This window comes from Homo sapiens, chromosome 5 (assembly GCF_000001405.40).
Source record: "Homo sapiens chromosome 5, GRCh38.p14 Primary Assembly".
Taxonomy (NCBI): Eukaryota; Metazoa; Chordata; class Mammalia; order Primates; family Hominidae; genus Homo; species Homo sapiens.
In genome coordinates, this window is record NC_000005.10 from 122,017,497 (window position 1) to 122,029,673 (window position 12,177).

General features: G+C 35.7%; 1 protein-coding gene across 2 annotated transcripts in view; it reads left to right on the plus strand.

Moving 5' to 3' along the window:
• Positions 1 to 12,177, plus strand: part of SRFBP1 (serum response factor binding protein 1) — a 116,961-nt gene that overhangs the window by 55,522 nt on the left and 49,262 nt on the right. The window contains exons 5-8 of one of the 2 annotated variants that reach the window (NM_152546.3): positions 1,764 to 1,845; positions 2,592 to 3,306; positions 4,874 to 4,911; positions 9,446 to 11,137. In NM_152546.3, the coding sequence (NP_689759.2) occupies positions 1,764 to 1,845; positions 2,592 to 3,306; positions 4,874 to 4,911; positions 9,446 to 9,630 (1,020 nt within the window). In that variant the 3' untranslated portion in view covers positions 9,631 to 11,137. Of the gene's footprint in view, positions 1 to 1,763; positions 1,846 to 2,591; positions 3,307 to 4,873; positions 4,912 to 9,445; positions 11,138 to 12,177 lie in introns of those variants that run through there. The other variant, XM_017009111.3, reaches the window with a different exon arrangement.

Sequence of the window (12,177 nt, forward strand, 5' to 3'; positions counted from 1 at the left end):
CCACTGTGATTCCACATAATTTAATCTGCAAAGACTTTGTTTCCAAATAAGTTCACATTCTGAGTTTCCAGGTGGATGTGAATTTTGAGGGGACGCGATTCAACCTAGTACACAAGGTAATTAAATAGCAGATGGTCCTGGCACAGGATTTGCACCAGGTGTAATTTAAATAGATTATTCTTTGAGTGACATTACTCACATAAATCCTACAAACAGAATAGCTTGCATACTGCCATCATCTTGTTTTTATTTTGGTATTCGTACATTTATAATACTGGGTTGGAAATGTCTTATATTTGACTGTTCACAATGAAGGGTAAATTTAGGATAAAGACATTTGAAACTGGTTGTTTTACTTTCACACACTAGTGAAATTTATTCACTTGCTTTATTAAATGTGTATTGGGTGCCTACTATTATTACCAGTCACTATTCTAGGCACTGAATCTACAGCAATGAGGCAAACAAAGTCTCTGCTTTGCAGATATGAAAACATCTACACTGCCATGCAGTGGTAAGTGATGTGAAGTAAATAGTGATGGGAAGTGTTGTGCTAGTTGAGATGACATTTAAGCAGAGACCTGAATACAGTGAGATGATCAGCCGTGTATATATTTGGGAGTAGAGTATTCCAGGTAAAGAAGAGATTGCAATGGTATGGGCTAAGCATCAGAAAGCAATAAAGCTTAAAGAAGAACAGATATGGAAATAGCATGATTTGATTACATTTTTAAAAATCACCGTGGCTGTTGTGTGGAAAATTGACTGTTGAGAGAGCAAGTTGCAAAGGAGAGTGACCAGGCATAAGTTTAATTATGTTGGTCCAGGTGAGAGGTGTTGGTGATTTAGTCAAAGGTAGTAAGAATAGAAATGGTGAGAAGCGACTGGTTCTGGATATATTTTACATTTGGAACCACAGGGTGTATTGTGAGTTTTGAGGGAAAGACAAATAGTGGGAAAGAATCCTTAGAGTTTTAGGCCTGAGCAACCAGAACAATGGAAATTACATACAATAAGATGGAAAAGCTACAGGAGAAGCAGATTTGTGAGGAAAAATCAAAGAATTCTGTTTTGACAATGTCAAATAGATGTCAGGTTAGGTGGTTTGATGTATCAGCTTAGAGCTCAGGTTGGAGCTGGAGGTCGAAATTTAGATGTTGTCAGCCTTCATACGGCATTTCAAGTCATTAGCCGGCATTATGATTTTTCCAAATTTATAAATATATTGAATACTGTATATAATGTTCCCATTCAGTCTAGGCCCTGAGAACGTGTCAGTGATAGTAGACATTTAAAATAGAAATATAGAGCGTTAGATAATTTCTAGGTCTCTGTTAAATGGAACTTCAAGTATTACAGTAGTCTCACCCAGTTTAGCACTAATATGTTATTTGATTCTTTGATATTAATTTAGTCTTCTTAATTAGATTGTTCAAGCTCTTTGATAGTAAAAACTATGTTCTTTTTTTGATGTTACACATGGTGCTTATCACAATTCTGAGAATATTAAGTATCGTATCCAAAGAATATTTATTAATGATTAAGTGATAATTTTAGTTGTTCAAAGGCAGTAATATTTTTGTCAGGATGATCTTTGTCTTTAGCATGGATTGATTATACAGATATCTTATCTAAGGAGAATATTAACTAGTTCTATTCTCCAACTCTAATTTTAAAGACTATGATAGATTTTATTTTATTCACTTTCAATAGTGTCATTTTTATTTCATTCCCATACGTTTATTATATTTTTAAATTTGCAGCCAGATTCTACTGCAACTGAAAGAGCAATTGCCAGACTAGCAGTACATCCTCTTCTGAAGAAAAAGATAGATGTGCTAAAAGGTATGAATTAAATGACTTTTAAGCCATGTACTTAATGTATTTGTAGACTTTGGATAATGGCTATTCACTTATTTTAACTCTTGAGGTTCTATTATAAATATAAGTTTCTTTCAAATATTTACCAGTGTGGAAGGTGTCTGAAAATACAGAAAGTGTGATCTCTGAAGAAAAACCAAATCTGTATTGTTTAGTAAATTCTAATATGTGAACGTATAATACGTAATATATATCTTTTTATATATAATATATACAAGATAAAGTTGAATAGTTTTTTTAAAATATTGACATAACTCATTAGTTTTGGTTTCGCCACTTAGGAACATAATTTTATATATGTTTATTATAAAATATATCTATAAAATGAAATTTTTTTGTCACATGATACTGAATTTTATGTCTGAAAGCACAGTTTATAATAATGCATTATTATTATATAAATTAAAGTTGCCATTCCCTTTTATTTGTATTCTGTGATGTTTTTACTGTTCTTCATAACTCCAAGACATGAAGAAAACATTTTCTTTTCATTTTCACAATTTAAAATGAATACGTCTGAGCATATCTTATGTTTGGTTTTTAAGAAGTCGAAAGATTTCTTTGTGAATTCAGACCGAGTATATGTATTTAATATCAATTCCAACTGCCCTCTTAAATCTTTTCAAATAATTTTTTAAAATACTGTCCTAAAACAGTCATGTTTTATATGTTTCAGTGCTAAAATGAGTGATGCACTGTTTCTCTTGCAGCTGCTGTACAAGCCTTTAAAGAAGCAAGACAAAATGTTGCTGAAGTTGAGTCATCAAAGAATGCTTCAGAGGACAATCATTCTGAGAATACTTTGTATTCAAATGATAATGGAAGTAATTTACAGCGTGAAGCAACTGTCATCAGTGAGCAAAAAGTCAAAGAAACCAAAATATTGGCGAAGAAACCAATACATAATTCAAAGGAAAAAATAGCAAAGATGGAACATGGACCTAAAGCAGTGACTATTGCAAATTCTCCATCAAAGCCTTCAGAAAAGGATTCTGTAGTTTCCCTTGAGTCCCAGAAGACACCTGCTGACCCAAAACTGAAAACTCTAAGTCAAACCAAAAAAAACAAAGGATCTGATAGCTCACTCTCTGGTAACAGTGATGGCGGAGAAGAATTTTGTGAAGAGGAGAAGGAATATTTTGATGATAGCACAGAAGAAAGGTTTTACAAGCAGTCTTCCATGTCTGAAGATAGTGATAGCGGTGACGACTTCTTCATTGGGAAAGTCAGACGGACACGAAAGAAGGAAAGTAGTTGTCATTCTTCAGTTAAGGAACAAAAACCACTAGAAAAAGTGTTTCTTAAAGAAGATACAGGTGAAACTCATGGGGATACAAGAAATGACAAAATCAAGCCAAGTACAGAAACCAGAAAGTTAGAATCAGTGTTTTTCCACTCTTTATCTGGATCTAAAAGCTCTAGAAGGTAAGATTCTTTTTCTATTCTGAAATAATCATTAGTTCTTTTTTAAAAAGCTATAAATGTCTACTTGTCCATACATGAAGAGACTATAATTCTAGTTTGTACAACCCATCCTGTTTTTAGACATGGCCCTCTCCAAGGTTGTAGTGGGGTATTAGGTACAGATACACATATGGCAATGCCACATTTGCCTAGTTTCATCAGAAAATGAGATGTTATAGCCAAATAATATGCCAGCTAATTTAAATTTTATTCCTTCACTTATCAAAGTTTTGAAACTTTGAAATCTTTTTTGATGAAAAACTTTTGAAAATGTTTCATGTATCTTTCTAAACAGAACTTTCTGAAAAGAATATGGTGTTTTTTCTTGATGATCCAGGACCATTATTGTAAACATCAGTCATTTTACTGTCTAGTACCATTTCAGTATATAAGGCTGCTTGCCCTTAAACTGAGTTTCTCCATACTGCTTTTTATTTGATGATGTTGCTGTCTCCATCTCTGTTGCTCACCACTTTTCATAGCTGTTCTGTTATAAAACAGTAAGTTTAACTTTATTTGTAATTCCAATTTGATAAAGGGTATCTTCACATTTTAGAGTGAAGGTTATGGTTAGCTAATTTCTTCAGTAACAGCTATAAACTGTTTTTGCATATATTTACAAGTCAGGGATAGTCTTTAATGAAATAGAAAAATGTGATGTAAAAATTTTTCAAAAATGTCACAGTATGGCAAAGACATAAAAACGTGTGGAGTGTTGAAATAATTAAAATATTTACTTATATTTTCCAAACTTGCCTCAAAAAGCTGCACTTTTTTCCACATTTGAAAATGGCACACCACTATCCCTTTACCACAAAATATAAATCTTTTTTTTTTTTTTTTTTTTTTTTTTGAGACGGAGTCTCACTCTATCACCCAGGCTGGAGTGCAGTGGTGTGATCTTGGCTCACTGTAACCTCTGCCTCCCAGGTTCAAGCAATTCTCCTGCCTCAGCCTCCTGAGTAGCTGGGATTATAGGCGCATGCCACCACGCCCGGCTAATTTTTGTTTTTTTTTTGTTTTGTTTTGTTTTCTAGTAGAGACGGGTTTCACCATATTGGCCCGGTTAGTGTCGAACTCCTGACCTTGTGATCCACCCTGCTCAGCCTCCCAAAGTGCTGGGATTACAGGCGTGACCCACCGTGCCCCGCCAAAATGTAAATCTTAATTTTTGTTATATGAGAGTCATTCTTCCTGTGAAAAGACTTTAGAAATTCTTTATATAGATAATCCCGAAGTGTAAAGGCAAGGTAACCAAGACAAGATATTTCCCATTACAAACAGAATTCTCTTTAAAGGTGGTGAGGGAAATAGGTCCTCATGTGTCTGTAGTAACACTGGATTCTAACAAACCTTTGTTTGATACAGCTACAACCTGGGACTTTCATAATTATTTTATTGTTTGCTGGTGTGACTAAGGAGTATAGTGGCCCTTTGAATTAGTTTTATCATCAATTTTGTTATGTTTTTTTCTTAAGATCAGAGGATTTATCTTTAAAAAGTCATAATGGTGTTTTTCTTCTTTTAGAAATTTCAAAGAACAGGCTCCAAAAACAAGATCCCTAGGTATGTATTCATAGTTGCCTGACCTTCATATGCAATTAAGCTATGTTTTACCAGAGTAAAAGAATGAGAAATTGTTGTTGCTTAATATAGCCTGAATGAATTATGTACCCACAGAAATGTTAACAGAGCATCTTACAATTATCAATATAATTTTTTGTTGTTGGTTTTCTTTTCTTCTGTGTCCTGCCAGAGGGAAAGATATAGACAAAATTTATCAGGAAATATTATGTCTATTTAACTTATCTCAAATTAAACCAACACTTTTTTTAAGTAAATTATGCAAGTTATATCTTAATTATTAGTGATCCTAAACGCTAATGCCATGCCGTTAAACATTGAATAACAAGTATATTACTTTCTTGGGCAAGAGTATAATCAGAATATTTTCAGATTAATTCGTAACAAATCTAAGTTTCATGTATTTGGGTAGAGTGACTTCTCACACAATCCTAGACTTTCACTAACTTAACATAGCAAAAATTCATTTCTCATTCACATCACAGTCCACTGTGATGAATTAGCAGAGAGGCTGTGTTCCACATAGTCATTCAAGGATCAGGCTTCTTCCATCTTTTGGCGTTTTCCTCCTCCAGGTTCCAAATATTCTCCATTTGCCAATAGAAGGGAATGGAGTACATGGAGAATTTTGCAGGTGTTTGTGAGCAAGGCCTGAAAGTAGCAGAAACCAGTTCTACTCACATATCATTAGCCAGAATTCAGTCACATGACCCCATCTAGCCACAGGGGAGCTAAGAAATGCAGTCTTACTATATATCTAGGAGAAAAGAGGAAGTGGAATTTCGTGAACACATAACTTTTTCTTCCAGTGACCAGACTTTCTATCACTGGATGGCCATTTCACTTTTCCTCCTACACAGAGCACACTTACCTCCTTCCCAAGGCAGCCAACCCAAAGTCACATCCAGTCACTGCATCTAGCTCAAAGTCCAGGATCACTGGTCATGGAGTATTTTCCATCAAATCTCATGGATGAGATTCTTCAAAGTCTGGTGACCTTTGTACCAAAAAGAAATTCATACCATGATATACCATGTATCGAGTAGCAGAACAGGGACAAAGTAATGACAATAAAAACTCTTGATAGCTTAAGGAAAAAATGGAAGGCACACAACAGGTCTACTATCTGAAATTCTGCTGAGCAAAGATTATGAAGGCTCTGAGAGGAACTTCTTTATCCATTGTTCTTCATGGTCCGTGTCTAGGGAGGGTCTTTGTTTCGTGGCCACATCTGAGGTGGGTATTTAACATGATCTCTTTGGAGTTTGCCCCAAGTCACTGGTACAAATATAAAATGATGAAGATTGTACAAAGTTCAGCAGAGGTTTTTTCCATCCCAGGCTTGTGATTTCTTTCACTATACACCTCCTCAAAAACTCAGTGGATTTCTGACCTCTGTTTCCTTCAGTCCGTCTGTGGGCTAGTTACCGTACTGAAAATTCTTTCTTTGAGCTAGTTCTCAAACTTGTCTTATTTGTTTGTGTTTTGTTTTATTTTTCCCACTTCCCGCTCTCATTCAGCATCTACTGCATTGAAAATTAATCAGATTTGGATGGGAGTGCCATACATTTAGTCTTATCTCTGCTCTAGGGCTGAGTTGCTGTGGGCAACTTTTCTTAGACTTACAGGTTACTGTTTGGGAGTCAAAGGCTTTTCTAAACCTTAAGTTCCCAAATATCTAGATTCTTTTGTTCTCTCTGTTCTCTTTTGTGTAGTGCATTGTCAAGGACAGCCAGTAATACGCTGATCTTTTTATTCTTTCCAGCCAGTTACCTTTGTACAGCAAACTCCATAGGCTTGTGGCCTGCTTGCCAAGTTATCACTGACAACAGTTTTACCTATTTCTTTGGCACATGGGTTGCTTACTTCTCATTCTCAGTTATCTGTTTCCTTGCTACCCACCACTGAACTGCTAAGCCAATGCCAAATTTTTATGTTATTGTAATGGTACTTCAGAGTACCAATTTTAGTATTATTCATAGTAGACTACCTGCTAAATCTCAGTGGTTTGTCATCTATCAGTCTGTCTGCTTCTAGGAATTTTATTCTGTCTTGTGCCTCTTGCCTCCTCTGGATCCTAGGAGTTCTCTTCATTCATCAGCGATAGAAAAGTAATGGAAGATTGAATGTGAGGTTTTTATGGTCCAGGCCTTTTACTCACATTTTATTGGCCATAACTCAATTAGCCATGTGACCTCACCTAACTGCAGCAGGAATGGAAACTATATTCTGATTGTATGCCTAAAAGGAAGATAATACAGGATTTGGCAGAAACATGTCAGTATGCCCCATTTATACCATATATTCACAAACACAGGATAACTGTAAATATAAGACATACCTACATTTTCACAATGAGACTATCCAAATAAAGGGTTTTTTGTGCTTAGCTTGTATGCTTAAAATATTTACTAGTTTATTTACATATACAACTCTATGTAATATATAAAATAATACATTCATTTAGAAATACTACCTTATTCAAATCTCAGTTTTTATGAAACAGGTTTTTGTTTTGTTTTGTTTTGTTTTTTTTATTTTTATTATTATTACACTTTAAGTTTTAGAGTACATGTGCACAACGTGCAGATTTGTTACATATGTATACATGTGCCATGTTGGTGTGCTGCACCCATTAACTCGTCATTTACCATTAGGTATATCTCCTAATGCTATCCCTCCCCACTCCCCCCACCCCACAACAGTCCCCGGTGTGTGATGTTCCCCTTCCTGTGTCCATGTGTTCTCATTGTTCAATTCCCACCTATGAGTGAGGACATGCGGTGTTTGGTTTTTTGTCCTTGCGATGGTTTGCTGAGAATGATGGTTTCCAGTTTCATCCATGTCCCTACAAAGGACATGAACTCATCAGTTTTTATGGCTGCATAGTATTCCATGGTGTATATGTGCCACATTTTCTTAATCCAGTCTATCATTGTTGGACATTTGGGTTGGTTCCAAGTCTTTGCTATTGTGAATAGTGCCGCAATAAACATACGTGTGCATGTGTCTTTATAGTAGCATGATTTATAATCCTTTGGGTATATACCCAATAATAGGATGGCTGGGTCAAATGGTATTTCTAGTTCTAGATCCCTGAGGAATCGCCACACTGACTTCCACAATGGTTGAACTAGTTTACAGTCCCACCAACAGTGTAAAAGTGTTCCTATTTCTCCACATCCTCTACAGTTTTTTTTAAACTTTTCATCTCTACAGCCACTCTTTGAATATTGTAACAGATTTCTAGAGCACATGTGATTTGTGTAAGATAAGGGTTGTTTTGATTTCTGTCTAGATAATGTTTTGTAAATATTATCCCAAACAGTGCACTGGTTTATATAACATTTTTACATTTGTTTTCTTAAAGAGGTCTTTAAAAGGCTTCTGACAGGCCGAGCACGGTGGCTCATGCCTGTAATCCCAGCACTTTGGGAGGCTGAGGTGGGTGGATCGTCTGAGGTCAGGAGTTCGAGATCAGCCTGACCAATATGTCTCTACTAAAAATACATAAATTAGCCAGGCATAGTGGCACATGCCTGTAATCCCAGCTACTTAGGAGGCTGAGGCAGGAGAATTGCTTGAACCTGGGAGGTGGAGGTTGCAGTGAGCCAAGATCACGCCACTGCTCTCCATCCTGGGCAACAGAGCAAGACTCCGTCTTAAAAAAAAGAAGTCTTTTGACAATGATTCCTAACTTGCAATGGAGAAATTACATAGTCATAGGACTGATTAAGAAGTCTATATTAAGTTTTTTTGTCTCTCTTTTTCTTTCTGATTCCATCTCCTAAGTTCTGTAAGCAACTAAAATGTGCATTGATGCATATCTTTTCATACTAGTGTATCTTCGCCAAATAAGACTTGGTTCAAAATCATGTAAAATGTTAAGATACTATATGGACTAGAATACAAGTTGCCACCTTCATATCTGGAGATTAATGTTACAACTAAAAAAGAACTTTGTCTTATATTCTTGAGTAGACTTAGTACTATTTGCCTTGTAATAACCACTTTTGGTTCAATAACAGACGGGAGTGGAATCAACTTATAGCCTTTAAAAATGAGTAAGCACTATCAGTATTGTCAGACTCAGTGGAGTGTCTTAGCTAAGATGTGAATTTTCTGGCTACATCTGCTTCATGTACACAGATATCATAAGCTAATGATGTTCCTTTGAAAATACATGATGCCCTTCTTTTTTGCCTTCCATGCTAGTACAACAGAGTGATTCCTTTCTTTATGTTGTTATAAATAAGACAGCACAGCATAAATTAAGAGGCACTCAATAAACATCTACTTATAAGTGTTAGAAAGCATGTGTGTCAAAATTGACTACTTGTATATAAATTTTCAACTTCAAACTATTCCCTGTTAGACTTCAGTTTTAAATTGTGAAATATTCCATTTAAGAAAACAAAATTTCTTTTTTTAACATTGGTTTGAAAAAGATGAAATTTACTTCTCCTATATGCTCTTTAAGTATATAGTTATTATTATTTTTGCTTTCTCTTCCTAGATTTTCCACAGAATGAGCCTCAGATCAAGAATCAGTTTAATAAGAAGCTATCAGGAAGACTTGAAAATACAAAACAGCAATTGCAGCTGCCTCTTCATCCTTCATGGGAAGCAAGCAGAAGGCGAAAAGAACAGCAATCTAATATTGCTGTGTTTCAGGGGAAAAAAATTACGTTTGATGATTGATTAGTGCCTCTTTCTGCAAACTTTTCCATCTAAAAAAAAAAATGTTTTTTTTAAGACAGGATCTCATTCTGTTGCCCAGACTAGAGTACAATATTGCAATCACAGCTCACTGCAGCCTCAAACTCCTGGGCTCAAGTGATCCTCCCACCTCTGCCTCCCAAAGGGCTGGGACTGCAGGTGCATGCACTACCATGCCCAGCTTTCTCACCCCAGGCTCTGCAGCTATTACTTAAACTCGTATTTGAATAAGTCTCTTGGGGAGAATTATAGAATGTTTGTTTTTGTATTTTTTTTTAAAGTAAATTCAACTTACGCTTATATAAGCCTTTCACAAATCCAATATGTACTTAAATTGATTTTTAATAATATCCCTCAGACTGTTTCCCTTATGAAGTAATTTGGGGATTTTAGTGATCTCATATTTTCTCTTTAGTGCTTATCATGAAATGTGCTTCACTGGTTCAGCTCTGTTGTTTCCTTAAACATAAATGTCAATATATATTTAAAATAATAATGGAAACATAGGAAATCAGCTATTTAAACCAGATCACCCTTGTTAAAAATCATTCTTGTTAGCAAACTAAAATAGTAACTTTTATTATGGATGTACAGATAAATATTAATTTTATTATAGTTTTAAGTACTTGTGATCATGTACTTTTTGATTCTAAAATAGTTGTCTAGGACAATTTTGGGATTCTTAATTATATTTTAGTTAAGAAAATTGTTTAAATATAGCAATACAACCAATAATTTGTTTTATGTTTCACTGCATATAAATATTTCCATTAAATCAAGAATGTATATTATCTAGTTTTTACTATACTTATTTTAAAATTTTTGAGGAATCATAGATTCTAATTTTTAAGAACAAATTCTGAAGGTGGTAGGATTAAAAGAATATTTCCACTGATGGCTAAGCAAAGAAGTTGTAAGATGACTCACTGAGGAAGGGACTGCTTTATACATCACAGTACTGCTATTTAAAAGGAAAACAGAAATTTTTAAATCCCTTCAAATGTTTCACTTTTGCTATGCTGGGAAAAATTTTGAAGTTCTTGGTAAACTGAATAATGCTAATCCATGTTTCCTGCACATTAGTTCCTTTAATGGCAGGGAAGGCCATCTGGTTAACCTGTATTCACAAACTCTCAAGAGTTTCTACTTATTTCAGGAGCTTAAGAATTTAGATAACTCAGCCGGGCGTGGTGACTCATGCCTATAATCCCAGCACTTTGGGAGGCTGAGGCGGGTAGATCGCTAGAGGCAAGGAGTTCAAAACCAGCCTGGGCAACATGGTGAAACCCTGTCTCTACTAAAAATACAGAAAATTATCCAGGCGTGGTGGCCGGCATCTGTAATTCCAGCTACTCAGAAGGCTGAGGCATAAGAATTGCTTGAACCTGGGAGGTGGAGGTTGCAGTGAGCCAAGATTGCACCACTGCACTCCAGCCTGGGTGACAGAGTATGACTGTCTCAAAAAAAAAAAAAAATTTGATAAATAGAATAATGGAATTCAAGGGATTATGCAGAGAGAAAATTATTTTTGCTGTGTCAGATGCATACATTGTTTTTGTACTTCTTTCTTTTAAATTTTATTTTGATATAATTTCAGACTGACAAAAAAGTAAAAGGAAAATGTCTCTGTACCTACCCAGAGTTTGCCAGACTGTGAAGTTGGGGTCACTATCCTCCACACTGCTGAGTCTGTCCAAGACTTTTTACCTCAACTGGAAGGAGTTACGGTCCAAGTAAAAAGTTAAGAGGGAAGAGTTTTAAATTTGTTAGCTGTTAGCTATTAGATTTTGTTACAAGTACTGTTGGACTTTTTCTGGGATGCAGTGAAGTTACTTAGAATCAGATGGTCATTTTGAGGTTTGTGCTTTGTTAGAATGGGTCTACAAGAGCCATTAGTCTAGGGCATTGGTTCTCGACTTGGAGTGATTTTCCCCCCAGGGAACATTTGGCAACATCATCTGGAGATATTTTGCATAGTCAAGGGTTGGGGGTGGGAGGGGGCTACATCTAGCAGATATAGGCCTGGGATGCTGCTAAGCTGTGTGTAATATATACACACACAAAAAAGAATTTTATAGCCCAAAATGTTAACAGTGCTAAGGTTGAGAAACCCTGGTCTAGGGTTCATCTGACTCCACTACGAGGCATTACCATTTTAGGAACTCTACCTGATACTGTGTCTATCAGGAAATCTTTCTGCAATGGCTGGTCAGAACACAAACTATACCTGGGCTTGTGGAAGGCATAGTTCCACTTACTCCTTTCTAGTGTTTAGTTTTTTTCCTGGTCTTAGTTATATTCTTTATACACCTCATGCAGGTTGATCTTCCACTAAAGACTTGAAAGAACCCTTCTACAGAGCTTTGGAGCACTTTTTCTGTGTATTTCCTTCCTCTAGTATTTTGCCTCACAAATTCTAATCACGTTGACTTTTCTGAACTCTGAAGTCTGTCTCTAATTTCAGTAAGGCCACTGAGCTCTTTTGGGGTTCTTCTGTCTGCACTATGGTTTGGAAACTTCAGGCAGTGA